Below are 18,128 nucleotides of genomic sequence, written 5' to 3' on the forward strand. Positions count from 1 at the left end.
GGTTCATGTGAAACAAGCCTAATCTTTCTTCCGCAAAATAGTCTTTGGAATAATCAAGAATGTTATCCTGATGCTCCCTTGAGCCTTCTGTGGTTTAAACATTTCCGGTTTCTTTCCATGAGGTATGGGCTATCTAAGGAAGAGTAAAGCAAGACCACCAAGTCTCTTGTTCCATATACTATTCTTTCAAACAGCTCAAGCTCAGAGTCTTTTGTTGTTGTCGATATATCATATTTTGAGTCATATTGGACTCATTATCTTGTTTGCTATGTACCATCAAGCCACTTTATAAAAAAGTAGACTTTATTTTTTAGAGCAGTTTTAGGTTTAAGGAAGAATTCAAGAGAAATCACAGAAAACCTATATTCCTTCTCTCCCCTGCCCACAATTTCCTGTATTATTAACATCTTGCGTTAGTGTTATAAATTTCCTACAATTGATGAGCCATTATTCATGCATTATTATTAACTCAAGTCCATAGTTTTCATTTGCATTTGCTCTTTTCATTTGCATAGTTTTCATTTGCATTTGTGTTGCACAGTTCTATGGGTTTTGACAAATGCATAATGCATTGTGTTCACCATTATATTATCAGACGGATTAATTTCACTGTCCTAAAAATCCTCTCTGTTCTTCTGCTGTACCTATTCATCCTTCCCTCCACAGCTGTTTTTACTGTCACCATACTTTGCTATTTTTAAAATGTCATATAGTTGGAATCATACAGTATGTAGTCTTTTCAGATTGGCTTCTGTCACTTAGCAATATGCATTTTAGGTTTCTCCATTGTGTTTTCATGGCTTGTTAGCTCATTTCTTTGCTGAGCAATAGTCTATTGTCTGAATGTGCTACAGTTTATCCATTCACCTACTGAAGTACATCTTGGTCACTTCCATTTTAGCAACTATGAATAAAATTGCTATAAACATTAATGTGCAGGTTCTCGGGTGGACATAAATAAGTTTTCTAGTCATTTGGGTAAATGCCTAGGAGTGCTTTTGCTGGATAATATGATAAGACTATGTTTGGTTTTATCGGAAACTGCCGTTCAAAGTGGCTGTACCATTTTGTATTATTACCACCAGTGAACTAGAGTTCCTCTTGTTCCATATCCTCGTCAGTCTTTGCTATTGTCAGTGTTTTGGATTTTAGCCACTGAAATAAATGTATAATGAAATCTCATTGTTTTAATTTGCAATTCCCTAATGACATATAATGTTGAGTGTATTTCCATATGCTTATTATCCATCTGTAGATCTTTGGTGAGGTGTCTGTTCAGATCTTTGCCCTTTTAATTGGGCTGGTTTCTTTTTGTTGAGTTTTAAGAGTTATTTATATATTTTAGATGCAAGCTGTTTGCTATGCATTTTGCATATATTCTTTCTCAGGCTGTGGCTTGTCTTTTTATCCTTATAATAGTGTTTTTCATAGAGCAGAAGTTTTAAATTTTACTGAATTTTAATTTATCAATTTTTTTTTCTTTCATGGATATTGCTTTTGGTGATGTATCTAAAAACTCATCACCAACCCCAAGATCACTTAAATTCCCTCCTGTGTTATTTTACCTTTAGGCCTATGATCCATTTTGAGTTAGCTTTTTTGAAAAGTGTAAGGTTAGTGTCTAGATTTTTTTTCTGGGAGGGGGCAACTGTTAGGCCACCTTTTTATCCTTCCTCTTTTAGTGCATTTGGGATTTTTTTTCTAAGATCAGAGCCTCAAATATATTAATATTATCTCTATTAATCTTTGAAATTATGGTCTGTCAAATCTGTCAAGATCTTTTAAAATTTTTATTCTTTTATTCATACACCTTTTCACATTTATTAATGTGTTTTTACAAATATTTATTTAGTGCCCACTATGAGCTAAGCCTTGTTCTAGGTATTGGGGATATAGTCTTAACAAAATAAATTCCCTATCCGTCCTTAAAGAGCTTCATTTCAAGGTTTGAAAGCAAGAATGCAGGTGAGAAACAAATATATCAATAAATGTATAATTTGTCAGATGGCAATGAGTGCTAAGAAGAAAGATTAAGCAGGGTAAGGAGACAAAGGTTATTTTACTTATTACTATTAACTCCTAATAGGGGTGTTATTTTACTGCAGATGGTCAAGGAAGGTGGGTCTGACAAGATGAGCTTTGAACAGACACCCAAAGGAAATGAGTTAGTCATGTAGATGCTTGAGGAAGAAGTATCACAGTATCACGAGCTGTGATACTGCATGTCCAAAGGCCCTGAGGCATGTGTGTATTTGACATATTTGAAGCATGGTAAAGAGGCCAGTGTAGTTGGAGTGAAATGAGCAAAGGGTGAGAGTAAGAGAGGATGAGGTTAGAGAAGTAAGGAGGGGAAAATGTCAGCTTTGTATCATTTATGTATCTAGTAAATTACCTTTCACTTCCATTGTTGACAAAGTATTGCCTAAGAAAAGGCTGAAGGGGGACCCTCAATGAAATGTCCTAGGAATCTTCCAGCAATTTGACATCATTCCAATGAGCATCACATTTTGGACATAGATATTCAGTTGGTAGCTCATCCACTTACTTGTTTTCTAGCATGTTGTTTCCACATGTCTTCACCTTGTCCACAGGGATATCATAAAGTGACTTGCCAGGCATCTTGCTAAAGACCTGATGTAATGTGTCTGTCTAATTTCCAAGATCTACTAATGTAGCTAATCTGTCAAAGAAGGAAATGAGGACAGTATGAAATCACTTGGCCTTAGTGAGAACACAGGCTAATTCCTCATGATCACTTATTTCTGGGTGTTCATGAACCATCCTTTTCATCAGGATTGACATACATACATTTTTTTAAAAGTCAAATATTTGCGAATATGTAACTATAAAGCCCATAATTTTATTTTTAGAATAAAAGTGGAACTATTCATCCTAAAATTAGATGGTAGTATTTTAAGGAGTCTTCCTTTTTCCTCTGTGTTCACTGTGAATTAATGTCATATAGGACTTACTGGCTCAGATGCTGGAGTCTTTTCTTGCACTAGTTGGATGTCCAACAATTCAATTCAATTTGATGGAATTCAATTCTGATACCAACGCCTGGAGTTAGTGCAGACTCCAAGGGGTTAAGGGCTGAGTTTCACAAGACTGTCCACACTTCAGGCGCCAGTCTCACATCTTGGGGAAATGGTCACCTGTTCTTCTGACCTGCCAACTACAAATCCAGGGTTCTCCCAACCTCCCCTCAGGTTCGGTAACTCAAACTCAGGAAAGCACTTTACTTAGTTTACCAGTATATTATAAAGGATACTACTCGGGAACAACAAATGGAAAGATACATAGGTCAAGGTATGGGGGCAGAGGGATTGGCATAGAGCTTCTATGCCCTCTGTAGGTGTGCCTCCTCTCAACACTTCAGTGTTGAGGTATTTGCTTCCAGCCTGGAAGCTCCTCACACTCCATTGCTTAGGAAGGTTCCCTTAAGCAGGCATGATCAATTAAATCATTGGCCATTGGTGAGTTAACTCAATCTCAGGCCCCTCGCTCCTCCCTGGAGGTTAGGGGTGGGGCTAAAAGTTCCAACCCTCTAATCACCTTGCTGATCTTTCTGGTGACCAGCTCCCATCTTGAAGCTATTCAGGGGCCCACCAATCACCTCATTAGCACAAACTGGCAAGATTGAGAGGGCCTTGCCATGAATAACAAAAGACATTTTTATCGCTCAGGAAATTCCAGGGGTTTTAGGAACTCTTTGCCAGGAACCAAGGACAGAGACCAGACATACATATGTATATATATGTACGTATGTATGGGTTTTTTTTTGTTTTTTTTTTTTCCTGAGACAGAGTCTTGCTCTGTCGCCCAGGCTGGAGTGCAGTGGTGCAATCTCAGTTCACTGCAACCTCCACCTCCCAGGTTCAAGCGATTCTCCTGCCTCAGCTTCCTGAGTAGCTAGGATTACAGGCGTGCATCACCATGCCTGGATAATTTTTGTATTTTTAGTAGAGACGGGGTTTCACCATGTTGGCCAGGCTGGTCTTGATCTCCTGACCTCGTGATCCACCTGCCTTGGCCTCCCAAAGTGCTGGGATTACAGGCGTGAGCCACCGCACCTGGCCCAGATATATATATATTTTTATTATGCCATAGGTGCTTAAGCCCATCTGAAATCCAGACATTTAATTTTTGTCTATTAGTATGTATAGTGTGATATCAGTTGGAGGGAGTGTTTCCTATTTTAATATTAGTTGCATTATGTCTATTGAAATTTAGTGTTTGGTTTTAGAAGTATACATATTATTGGTGGCTTAAATGGTTCATTGAAGTCTATGTATGTATCTGAAATCAAATGGTATCAATAAAAATGGTAAGTCTTAGGCATTGTTTTGTGACTACTTTGAATCCTACCTGTATTTCTTTATGTATGGTCATAACAAAACAATAATAACCTCCTTTTATTTAGTGCAATACCAGTTATGAACAGTTACCTTACCAGTTGCTTTACATACTGCTTTACAACTGGTTTACTGAGAAGTTATCATTATTCCCTCCCTCAACACACATAATTTCAGTGATGAGGAAATTAAGATCCATAGAATTTAAGGTCACTCAGCTAAAAAGTAGCAGAGTTGAGATTTAATCCAGGTCTCTTGGGCTCTGACATCTGTGCTCTTGTCATTACATCTGCTTCTTCCTATTTGCATGTACACTTGACTTCCTATAAAGGATGTAATAGAATCTGCACTTGACTGGAAATGATGCCCTTGACTAGCTAGCTGTGTAAGAGACAAATTATTGGGTTTGAATTTTATTTTCAAAGTATGGAGCTGACTAGATGGTTTCTGAGGTCCCTCTGGCTCTAAAAGTGTAAAACTGTAACGACTATACATAATTGCTTTGATAGCTATTTTTTTCATGTCTATCAGTTATGTAAAATTTACGAAGACAGTCAATGTAAAACTTTAAAGAAGATATCCCACATTTTTAAACCTTTAACCTTGTGGCTCTAGGTTGATAAACTCACCAAAGGCTTCCTTGGTATTTCAGACAGATTATGAGGGACAAGCCAAGAAACTCCTGGAACTGATGGAAAACACGGATGTGATCATTGTTGCAGGAGGAGATGGGACACTGCAGGAGGTATGACTGTTTTTCTCTTTGAAGCTATTTTGAAGGTGAGAAAAATGGAAATTAAATCCTAGAGCAATGGTATGTTGTAATTTAAAGAAATTTTTTATTTTAATTCATTATTTTAGGATTGTTGCTCTCTAAAGCTAGTATAGCTTTAAATTTTTCTCCTGCACTTCCATTTCATTGCTTTTTGTAAACCCTCTACCCAGCACATAGAAGGATTTTTGTATTATCATATTTAAGTTTGATAATATTGAATATAACAGAAGAAAAAATGATGGTGGATGGGATAATCTTGTTATATTTTGAAGACTCTTATGAAGTAGCCCTGTTTGTAATGGAATCATAGTTTCCATCAACAGGTATGTTTCTTATAAAATAAACAGATATTCAGCTATCCATTCTCATGTCATTTCCATTACATATAATATTATACTACATTAATAGGAAGAGGTATACATGTTAAGATACATGCATCTGCTTTTGTTTTAATATTGCATCTTCTCAATGAGATGCCACTATGCACCTATTAGAATGGCCAAAATTTCAGAACACTGATGATATCAAATGCTGGCAAGGATGTGGAGCAACAGGAACTCTCATTGTTGGTAGGAATGCAAAATGGTACAGCCACTTTGGAACAGCTGGGTGTTTTCTTACAAAACTGAACACACTGTTAACATACAATCCAGCAATCATGCTCCTTGGTATTTACCAAAGGAGTTGAAACCCTGTGTCCACACAATTGCACATGTAGCAGCATTATTCATAATTACCAAATCTTGGAAGCAACCAAGATGTCCTTTAGTAGGTGAATGAATAAGTAAAGTGAGATATATTCAGACAATAGGTATTATTCAGCACTAAAAAGAAGTGAGCTATCAAGCCATGAAAAGACATGGAGGAAACCTAAATGTATGTTACTAAGTGAAAGAGGATAGTCTGAAAAGACTACATACTGTGTGATTCCGACAATTTGATATCTGGAGGAGGCAAAACTATGGAGGCAGTGAAACGTCAGAGGTTACCAGATGTTGAAGAGAGGGATGAATAGGCAGAGCACAGAGGATTGTTAGGGCAGTGAAACTATTCATTATGATACTGTAAGGGTGAATACATTTGTGTTACACACAAATTTGTTTAACACAAATTTTTTGTGTGTATTTGTTATACACAAATGTATAAGTGTTATACATTTGTGGGAACCCATAGATCTGCAACACCAAGAGGGAACCCTAGTGTAAACGATGGACTTTGGGTGATGATAATAAGGTGTCAATGTAGGTCCATCAGTTGTAACAAATGTGCCACTCTGGTGAAGGATGTTGATAATGGGCGGAAGGTTCACGTATAGGGGGCCAGAGGGGACATGGGAAATCTCTGTATTCCTCTCAATTTTGCTGTGAGCCTAAAACTACTTTTAAAACATAAAATTTATTAATAAAGATACCCTTAATGCTTACTTTGGTCCATTAAGGGCGGTAAGTATGTTACCCTGCAAGTACTCTTCTTTTCTAGCAGCAGAGTAGTGCATTCATTATATTTTGGAAACCCCTAAAGAGCCCAGTGCAGGTGATCCCACGCACTGCTTAATTTTTCATTCCTGTATACTATATTTCATATTCATACCTCATTTCTGATTGCCTGTTGTCCCCATTCATTGGTTTTACCAGTGTTCAGGGATCAGAAGCTAACAGCAGAGTACTGTCCTATGTTTGACTTAGTCATTATGTGAGCCTTAGTAAGCTTCTTTTAAAAAGGCTGTGCTAATGATGTTGTAATTGTTTTTATGGCTTTTTAATGAAGTGTGAAGAATATTGATAGCATGCCTACAAAGAAGGAAGTAGACCTCTCAACAGCCCCATTTATTCCTGAAATTCAGTGAGGCAGGAGAAGATGAAGGGAGGAGATCTGGGTCAGGTTTTACTTTACAAAATGTTTTTAAAGAAATTGTGTATTTGGTATAATTACAGTCATATAAAAATATGCACTGATTAGAAAAAGGATTGGAGGGAAATATATCAAATATAAACAAGTGATTTATAATTGGTTATCTGGGGCTGGGTGTGGTGGCTCATGCCTGTAATCCCAGCACTTTGGGAGGCCAAGGTGGGCGGATCACCTGAGGTCCAGAGTTTGAAACCAGCGTGACCAACATGGCGAAACCCCGTCTCTACTAAAAGTACAAAAATTAGCAGGGCATGGTGGTGGGTGCTTGTAATCCCAACTACTTGGGAGGCTGAGGCAGGAGAATCGCTTGAACCTGGGAAGCAGAGGTTGCAGTGAGCCGAGATCATGCCATCGCTCTCCAGCCTGGGTGACAGAGTGAGACTCCACTGCAAAAGAAAAACAAAATAATAATAGTTGTTTATCTGGCATGGTGGAATTATGAGAATTTTTTTTTGTATTTAGGTATTTTTCAGTTTTTACAGAATACTATCCTTCTTCATATTTGTCAATAAGAACGATTTGTTAAGTGCACACTCTCTGAGTGTAGCAAAGTGCTTTTTTCCTGTATATGTACTTCATAGTGGTAAACTAGGGTTTTCTGTATAATTGATGTGTACATCATATTTATACCCATTTTATAGAACTTAAAACATATTTTTAGTAATACAACTTGGAGTTTTTATAATTATTTTATCTTAGCCTTTATTGTATTATTGATCATAGGTCAAAAATAAAATCTAATTTAGCTCTGATTCTATTGGAGAATACTATATGTTTTAAGATCCAGTGCATCTTTTAACAGAGCTTCTAAGAAGAAAACAGGAGTAAGTTTATGGTCTATGAAAATTGAATCCAATTCTTTTATTGTAAAGGAAATACATATTATTTATAACAATGTTTTATTATTACATTTGTAGGTTGTTACTGGTGTTCTTCGACGAACAGATGAGGTGAGCATTAAAGAGTAATTGCATTTTAACTTTTATTTTTCTGTTCTTTTTTATTGCTTTTCTTTCTTTTACTTTTTTTTTCCATTGTATATTTTAAAACGGGTACAAATTGTGCTTTCTTGAATTTTAGAAAAGAAAATACTGCTACCCATGTCATAGAACACGTATATTAACACATGGGGACTTTTCTGGTTTGGTAATTGATGGTATCCAATAACTTTGACAATGGTTATTTAAAATTTTGTTATGGAATCTTTTTTTCAAAGAACTTTTTCATAAAAGAAATTGTGGCATATTCATATAGTGGGAATCATCTAACAGTTAAAATGAATGAACTAAATGTATAAATATCTACATGGCTAAATCTCAAAAGTTTTGAATAAAAAAAAAAGCAGGTTGCCCAGGTATGTTATGCATTTCTACAGTGTTTTAAAATTCAGAAAACAATACTATGTATGGTTAATGGATGCTTAAATATGTAGCAAAAGAATAATAATGTGGATGAAAAGGAATCACACCAACCTCAGGATAATGGTCTCCTCTGGGAAGGGAGAGAGGAGAATAGTTTTAGAAGGGACTTTCATTGTATCTCTATCGTTTTATTTCTTGAAACATATGAAGCAAAAAGGTAAATGTTAACATTTGTTAAATATAGGTTGTGGGCACATGGGTGTTTTTGTAACATTATTTTATGCACTTTTCTACAATAGCTAGAAGATCCTTCTCAGTCCCTTTGGTAATAGTACATTGTGCTCAGAATTGTTTTGAACCTTACAGTATCTATTGTATGTGTGGCATTTAATTAACTGCTATGCCAGTACCATCTATTATTTGAACTTGTTTATTCTCTTTGCCTTATTTGTACTTAAGATAGTTTATAAAGCACCTTCACCTGTCATTGGTCACTGTATAAATGGTAGACATTTTTAGTTGAATTTTATCTGCAACTTTATCAAATAGTGTGACAATGTTATACAGTCTCTGTTGCACTAGTGCATTGATATATTATCTTCAAAACCCTCATTATCTTAACCAAATTTCTTTCAAACAGTTGTCATTAATGAGTACTAAAATATTTCTTCCAAATTCTGAGTCATTTTGTTTTCATTGACTGCCTTGTTTTAGAAATTACCCACCTAGCTTTATTTGATTACTGGTCTAAGGATGTGGAAAGGAGATGGGGAGGCAGATACAGGGTCAGTTATTTGTCATAGTGGACACACCTGTGCTTCTCCATTAAGCCTGATTTTCTGATCATAACAATAAAACTTTCCTCTTCTTTCCCCCCCCAGGCTACCTTCAGTAAGATTCCCATTGGATTTATCCCACTGGGAGAGACCAGTAGTTTGAGTCATACCCTCTTTGCCGAAAGTGGAAACAAAGTCCAGTAGGTTGTCAATGTGGGGAATTAGCATTTGTGGGTGAGCGAGACTGGGAATGAAAAATTTATGTGTATGCTATAACTTTCTTGAGTTTTGATAGCCTGAAACTTCAAATAATTAAGAGGAGGACCTAGATCAGAGTTCAGCCTTTCAGTTCATTGGGAAGTCTCCCAACTTGGTTGTGGGACTCTTATAATAAGTCTCCAGGTCAGGTAGGGAGGTGAATACTTGATGTCCTTTTGTCAGTTATGAAGATAATATCCCTGACCTAAACCGTTTTTGTGCTTGTACATTGTAAGATTCTTTAGTGAAGACATATTTGTGCTGCTCATTTGTTTGCTTTAAGTATATGCAATGACAAATAACAAGTCCCTTGTGAAGACTGAACTAGTAGCCTGGCTTCATTATCTTGATATTAAAAATAGCTAAAACAAGTAAATATAGCCACATCCTTTTGGGAATACTTAAAGTGGTAGACAGTGTAGACAAAGTAGACTGGGAAAGCAGTGTAGCTCTGACATCTAAATTAAATTGCTGTGAGTCTCACAGTGTTTTTGGGAGTCAAGCAAATTGTTGTTATTATTGTTCTTTTTTGCTTGAAGGCATTATGTAAACAAAGCTCTGCTCTTTCAAGAAGATAGGAATCTTGAATTTGAGCTTTGACAGTGATTAATAACATCATTTTGAGCAAATAGTTGTCAAGAAGACCCAAATAAATGGAGAGATAGCTGAGAGATCAGTTGCCTGATGGTTAACGTAAGCTTTGTGACACATTGGAGGAAGTCAATAAATAAATATTTGTTGCATGATTTAATGAAAATTTTCTCATGATTTTTCTGGTTATAATCTTCTAGAATAAATAATAATAATACCCAAGTGATTTTCTGTTTTGGTTAAGGATTTTTTTTTCTGCTTTGGAATTCTTTGATTAGGCTGGCTTTTGTGAATTTATTTTTGCTATTGTAATGTTAGGAGTCAACTGTATCTCTTTTAACAATTCTATATTTTAATAAGCATCTTAGTCCAGTTTTCAAAACACTAGGCATACACACATATATATATGTCAGATCTTCATTCAAACTTCTTTTATATTTCAAACCTTAATATAATGGGGATTATTCAGCTATTCATTAGCCATCCTGAGGGCCTAACTACAGGAGAGGCCATTTCAGTTGGCCATCCTTTTTTTTTCTTTTTCTTTCTTTTTTTTTTTTTTGAGACAGAGTCTCGCTCTGTAGCCCAGGCTGGAGTGCAGTGGCGCGAACTCGGCTCACTGCAAGCTCCGTCTCCCAGGTTCACGCCATTCTCTTGCCTCAGCCTCCGAGTAGCTGGGACTACAGGCGCCCGCCACCACGCCCGGCTAATTTTTTGTATTTTTAGTACAGATGGGGTTTCACTGTGTTAGCCAGGATGGTCTCGATCTCCTGACCTCGTGATCCGCCCGCCTCGGCCTCCCAAAGTCAGTTGGCCATACTTTTTATTCCCGGTTTAGAATTTCTGAGGGGCAGTAGATAATGACAGTTAATTGCTCACATTTTTGCTTTTCCAAGATGAATCCTGTCTGATTCAGGTGTTGGTTACATTAGAGAGCTTGTCTTCTCCTTGTGTCAGTGTAGATTTTTTGAATTGCTTTAGCCAGTATTCCAAATAGCATATGTCATTGATCCAAGGGTAGACCATTTTCCTTGGAGACCCCTTGCCTGTCCAAAAGCTAATTTACACAGAGTGTGGCAACCCCCAGGGTCTGAGAGAGTCTTCAGTTTGGGGGAACTGATTTTCTCTTGTAGTTAAACTACTACTGTTGCTGCTGCTATTTATAGTTTAAAAATTTATAAAACTTAATTTATAAGCATGCCCCAGGGCTGTTAGGTAATCCAGGAAGTCTGTCCTGAGTTCAGAGTTCTGTAGGCCTCATAAAATGGCAGAAGCCTAAGGCTATTTAAAAAGAACAAGGCTTTGCTTTTTGCACTGCTGTCAAGATTTGTTGTACCATAGTTACCACAGAGGAAAAAAGAATTTTGAATTTGGAATGTTGCAAGTAAATAATCTGAAAAGTGCTATTCCATGCTACAGTGCTGCTTTATTTAGAACTTTTAGTTATTGGCAGGAGAATGATAAATTATAGGTTGCAATTTTAGCTGTCTTCTGCCAGCAATTTAGGAAAAAAATTTAATATAAAAAGACTTGATGAGTTACAACAATTTTTTTTTAAGGTCAGCCTCTCAAAGGCATTTACTAAATCTCTCAGTGTGTTAAATACTGTTCAGAATAAGTACAGTGCTTTAGGATTCTTTCTGATAGCTTTTTTCAGAATTAATATATTCATATCAAATTAAACTTGTGAGCATGCTGCTTACTTTCTCCTACACTGAAACTCATATTCCAAACTGCTGCCTACTTCCCAAGTAGCATCTATATTGGAGAGAAAAAAATGGTGTAAAAATGAGTTGATAGAGAAACATGAGAAAGTATAATAGTTTCAGCTAGAGTTTAATCCAAGCATTTGAGTTAATGTGTCTATCTTGGGATTTTAAAGTATCTTAAGTTGTACCTAACTTTGTTAGAAACACTGGTTTAGGTGGATTTGATTCCTTAGGTGTTTACATTTAGTCCTGAGCACATTGATGGGGAGGCCTGTAGAGCACCCAGATTTTAGATGTGGATTTTTTCTTTGGGAATCCATTGATATCCATTTGATACGTCCAAAGCAGCCTTACAGGTTAAGTTAGCACATCTTTGGAGACAAATTTCATTTTGTGACATGCTGGCTCTGTCCTCTTGGTAATTTCATTCAATCTCTCTGAACCTCAATTTCTCTTACATGTGTTTATCAAATGCACACTAGTAGTACCTACTTCAGAAGATTGTTAAAAAGCTAAAGTAGGTCTATTTACGTAAGTGTAATTATGCCTAGTAAAGTGGACTTTATTCATATTTATTAAAAATTCATTTGGGGGGACAAACAGTAAATAAATAGGTTGACTACAATTACTGAGTCTAGATTCTATAATTAAAACAAATATAAATCAAAACAGATAAGCCTCTATTCTATTGCTAACTGCTTCACCTAGAAAAGTTTTTTTTGTTTGTTTAAAAAAGGAAAGAATGTTTTGTAGTCATTCAAATCAGTTACCATAGGATGGCAACAATTTCTATGAAATTCACAGTATCAACCAGTTCTGCACATAGCAGAATAGATTAGGAGGTGCCCTGTTTGGTTAGGAACTGCCCTTTTTTGAATGGAAATTAAAGTACTTTCTAAATGACTTCTACTTGTAGTTGTACTTAAACTCCAGACAAAATATTTTACTTTATTAATAATAATTACCGTATTTATTTTTCCAAAATATAGCTATGTAACAATAGAGGCAATAGGACACTAACACTGATATACCTTTACAAAAACATGAAATACATATGGATAAATCTAACAAAATATGTGTAAGATTTATATGATGGAAACTACAAATCAGTGAAGAGAGAAATCAAGAAGACCTAAGTAAATAGAGATACTTCTGTGTTCATGGATTGTGAGGCTTCGTACTGAGATGTCATTCTCTCCACAACTGATCTATAAATTCAATACAATCCCAATCAATGTTTCACAAGGCTTTTTGTAGAAATTGAAAAATTGATTCTAAAATTTATATAGAAAAATAAAGGAAGCAGAATAATCAAAATAATTTTGAAAAAGAACAAAGTTTAAGGATTTACCCTATCTAATTCCAATACTTACTCTAAAGCTACAGTGATCAAAACAGTGTGGTGCTGGCAAAACAAGAGACATAAATCAGTAGAAGAAAGAGTCCAGAATTAGACCCACACACATATGGACAATTGATTTTTCAATAAGGGCACCAAAGCCATTCAATGTATAATAGAAAAGACAGTTTTTTTCAACAAACAGTATTGGAACAGTTGAACATATACAAAAAGTAAACTTCAACCCATACCTCACACTATATCTAAAAATTAGCATCAAATGGATTGTAAACCTATATATAAAACCTAAAACTGTAAAGCTTCTAGAAGAAAATCTTTAGTCATTAGAGAAATGCAAATTAAATCTACCATGAGATGCCACTATGCATCTATTAGGACAGCATAAACAAGAAAAAAAAAAAGCAAACAAAAACCCGTCAAATAAATGCAGCAACTGAAACTCTTGGATATCATTGGTGCAAATACGAAATGGTAGCCACTTTAGAAAATGGTTTGGCAGTTTCTTGTAAAATTAAACATATACCTACCATATGAGCAGCAATCACACTTATAGGTACTTATTCAAAAGAAATGAAGATATATGTCCGTACAAAAACCTGTACATGAATATTTATAGTAGCTTGATTCCTAACTGCCAAAAACTGGGAACAATGCCAATGTCCATCAACTGATGAATGGGTAAACAAATTCCAGTACATCCATACAATGGAATATGGATAGTCTACTGATACATCCATTCATAAACAATAGTGTAGATGAATTTCAAGCTCATGCTAAGAGAAAAAAACTGAACTGGAAAGGCTCCATACTTTTCGATTCTATTTTATGACATTCTGGGAAAGGCAAAACTCTAGACGCAGAAAACATAGTAATTGTCAGGAGCTGAAGGTGCAGGCAGTGGGTTGGCTGCAGAGGGTTATGAAGGAACTTCTTGGGATGTTGAAAATGTTATATATATTTGTCATGGTGATAGTTATATGACTGCAGCTTTTGTCAAAATTTATAAAACAGTGTACCTAAAAGTATGAATTTTACTGTGTATATATCATACCCCAATAAATCTAACTTTAAAAAAGAAGTTACACTTCCAGTTTCCAGTTCCACATGTAAGGAGCTTGGAAGTTGTCACTCTGTCCTAACAATAAACAAAAAGCTGAACAACCTGAAAACTCAGCAACTCTTCTTGTATCTGAAGGAGAAGGTAGGACATAGGGCAAACTGCTGCCCCCAAGATTGGAGAGACAGGGGAATACAGGGGATTTTGACTTAACGAAGACACACACTGGAAACCACTTTGGAAACCACTTTGGAAACCAGTGCCAGGGTAGGAAAACCTGACCTGTAATTGATAAATTGCTGAAGCTCAGTGTGATTAGCTCTGAGAGGAGTCCCAGTCTACTGGGATCCAGTCATAAGGAGTCCCCCACAATATTGTAAGATATGCCTCCAGGAGCTCAACCAGGAGCTCACAATAAATATCAGAGAAAAATCGCCTTATACTTCTGGCACTGGTGGGGAAAAGGAACCATTTTGAAATATGCCACAGTATTCTGTTCTTCTTAACAAGGCCTGTCCTCAGGAGAAACAAGTTAACCAGAGCCCAACCTGCTGGAGTATTATCAAGGTTTAACTGGAGAAGGGAAATACTTAATTCTAGTCAGCTCCAGCCTTGCATGTGGGAGAAGGGAAAAAGCCAATTCCAGCCTACTCTAGCCATTCTGTCCACCTAAGGGAAGAGAAAAAACTGAGAAACATTTGTTCAAAGTCCAGAGACAGGCTCATTAAAGCCTGAGACCTAATCATCGAACCTAATCATTGCTTCCCCTCCCTTCACATGCTACATGGATGTCAATAGTACATGCCTTTTGATGATACTTTTTTTAACCTATAGACTTTCCAAATGGCTCTCAGAATGTAGATAAGAACGGTCTGTGTTCAAAAGAATCAGCAATTAAAATGAAGCGCATCCTAGTAGTCCTGGAAAATAAGAGAAATATGTCTCAGGTTCTGGATTATATTTTGCTAAGATAACTATAACAAATTCTGCCCTTTAGTTACTCTTCTGGCTGTTAGAGCAAGAATAAGTATTGTTTTTGGAAATGCCTGAATTTCTTACAATGAATAAAAAAAGTTATTAAGTGTCATATTTTCCAATGGTAAATAGGAGTCAGGCACAATGTAGAGACTCAGTAAATGTTAAATGAATGAATGATCAGTGCCTTGTATGAACTTCTCCTTGCCAAAGCTTTCTCTTTGAGTCCCTATAAACTACTAGTACTTTGGCAGGAGGGAGGGAGAGAGGGAAGGAGGGGGAGAGAGAGAGAGGGAGAGAGAGAGAATGAGAGAGAATATGTGTGTGTGTGTGTTTGTGCATGAGTGCATGTGGCAGTGTGGTGGGGGAGATGTTGCCTATTTTTCATAATATGATCATTTCCTTTTCTCTTTTAGACATATTACTGATGCCACACTTGCCATTGTGAAAGGAGAGACAGTTCCACTTGATGTCTTGCAGATCAAGGTAAATCTTTTCATCACATATTGGAAAAATTGTGAAAGTAATACTCGCTTACATGTTAAAGAAAATAAAATGTAGCAGTTCAAATGAGGTTATAATGAAAACAATAGTTGCTCTTCCATTCCTACCCCAAGTATTAGTCCCCAGAGGAAATAATTTTACCTGTTAATTCTAGTTGTTATCACTAATTAATATGCTTTTGCTCCTATTTTTAAAATGTGGCTAAAAGCATAATATTTATCATTATAGTCATTTTTAAGTATACAGTTCAGTAGTGTTAAGTACACTTAGCTACTTTTTTTTTTTTTTTGAGAAGGAGTCTTGGTCTGTCACCCAGGCTGGAGTGCAGTGGCACAATCTCAGCTCACTGCAGCCTCTGCCTCCTGGGTTTAAGCAATTCTCCTGCCTCAGCCTCCCAAGTAGCTGAAATTACAGGCACCCACCTCCACAACTGGCTAATTTTAACTACTTTTTGATTTATCACTTTTAGACCTTATCTTTGACCTCTTTGTTATACAGGCATACCTCATTTTATTACACTTTGCCTGACTGCATTTCACAGATATTGTGCTTTTTACAAATTGAACGTCTGTGGCAACCCTGCCCCAAGCAAGTCTACCAGTGTCATTTTTCCAACAGCATGTGCTCACTTCATGACTCTGTGTCACATTTTGGTAATCCTCACAATACCTCAACCTTTTTCATCATTACTACATTGTTATGGTGATCTGCTATCGGTGATCTTTGATGTTACTATTGTAATTGGGGCACCACGAATTGTGCCCACATATAATGGCAAACTTAATTAAATGTGTGCGTTGACTGCTCCACCAACCAGCCATTTCCCTACCTTTCTCTGTTCCCTGTGACACAACAGTATTGAAATTAGACCAATTAATAACCCTACTTGGCCTCTAAGTGTTCACATAAAGAAGACGCATCTGTCTCTCACTTTAAATCAAAAGCTAGAGATGAGACCAGGTGCGGTGGCTCTTGCCTGTAATTCCAGCACTTTGGGAGGTCCAGGCAGGTGGATCACTTGAGCAGGAGTTCAAGACCAGCCTGGCCAACATGGCGAAACACCATCTCTACTAAAAATACAAAAATTAGCTGGGCATTTAAAAAAAAAAAGAAAAAAAGCTAGAAATAGGTATGCTTAGTGAGAAAGGCATGTTAAAAGTTGAGATAGGCTGAAAACTAGGCCTTATGCCAAACAGCCAAGTTGTGAATGCAAAGGAACAGTTCTTGAAGGAACTTAAATGTGCTACTACAGTGAGCATATGAATGATAAGAAAGTGTGGCCTGGTGCAGTGGCTCATGCCTGTAATCCCAGCAGTTTGGGAGGCCGAGGTGGGTGGATCACTTGACGTTGGGAGTTTGAGACCGGCCTGACCAACATGGAGAAACCCCATCTCTACTAAAAATACAAAATTAGCTGGGTGTGGTGGCACATGCCTGTAATCTCAGGTACTTGGGAGGCTGAGGCAGGAGAATCACTTGAACCCGGGAGGCAGAGGTTGCGGTGAGCCGAGATCGCGCCATTGCACTCCAGCCTGGGTAACTAGAGCAAAACTTTTTCTCAAAAAAAAAAAAAGAAAAAAAAAAGAAAGAAAAAAAAAAAGAAAGTGAAGCAGCCATGTTGCTGATAGGGAGAAAGTTTTTGTGGTCTAGATAGAAGACCAAATCAGCCACAACATTCCCTTAAGCCACATCCTAATCCAGGGCAAGGCCCTAACTCTCTCCAATTTTATGAAGGCTGAGAGAAGTGAAGAGGCTGCAGAAGAAATGTTTGAACCTAACAGAGGTTGGTTTATGAGGTTTAAGGAAAGAAGCCCTCCTCCTAACATAAAGTGCAAGGTGGAGCAGCAATTAGCTGATGGAGAAGGTGCTGCAAGTTATCCAGAAGATCTAGCTAAGATCATTGACAGAGGTACCCATACTAAACAACAGGTTTTCTATATAGACAAAACAGCCTTTTATTGGAAGAATGTGCCATCTCAGACTTTCATAGCTAGAGACGGGAAGTCAATGCCTGGCTTCAAAGTTTGGGACAGGCTGACTCTCATGTTAAAAACTACTGCAGCTGGTGACTTTAAGTTCAAGCCAATGCTCATCTACCATTCCAAAAGTCCTAGGGCCTTTAAAAATTATGCTACATCTACTCTGCTTGTGCTGTATAACTGGAAAAACAAATCCTGGGTGATAGTACATCTGTTTACAGCATAGTTTACTGAATATTTTAAGCCCACTGTTGAGACCCACTGCTCAGAAAAAGCAATTCCTATCAAAATATTACTGCTTATTAACAATGCACCTGGCCACCCGAGAGCCCTGATGGACATGTACAAAGAGATTAATGTTGTTTTCTTGTTTGCTAACAGACATTCATCCTGCATCCCATGGATCAAGGAATAATTTCAACTTTCAAGTTTTATTATTTAATAAATAAATTGTGGACCAAAGGTCATCAATAGATGAACTACTGTCTTGGCAACAAAGTGAGACCCCATCTATACA

At 36.9% G+C, this 18,128-nt stretch overlaps 1 protein-coding gene across 4 annotated transcripts in view; it reads left to right on the plus strand.

Annotated features, from left to right (window-relative positions):
• The window catches only part of AGK (acylglycerol kinase), a 103,835-nt gene that overhangs the window by 54,778 nt on the left and 30,929 nt on the right, over nt 1–18,128 (plus strand). For all 4 annotated transcript variants that reach the window (XM_024446835.2, NM_018238.4, NM_001364948.3 and 1 more), the window contains exons 6-9: nt 5,008–5,100; nt 7,959–7,991; nt 9,284–9,378; nt 15,545–15,614. In XM_024446835.2, coding sequence (XP_024302603.1) covers nt 5,008–5,100; nt 7,959–7,991; nt 9,284–9,378; nt 15,545–15,614 — 291 coding nt within the window. The remainder of the gene's footprint in view (nt 1–5,007; nt 5,101–7,958; nt 7,992–9,283; nt 9,379–15,544; nt 15,615–18,128) is intronic.

Source organism: Homo sapiens, chromosome 7 (genome assembly GCF_000001405.40).
Source record: "Homo sapiens chromosome 7, GRCh38.p14 Primary Assembly".
Taxonomy (NCBI): Eukaryota; Metazoa; Chordata; class Mammalia; order Primates; family Hominidae; genus Homo; species Homo sapiens.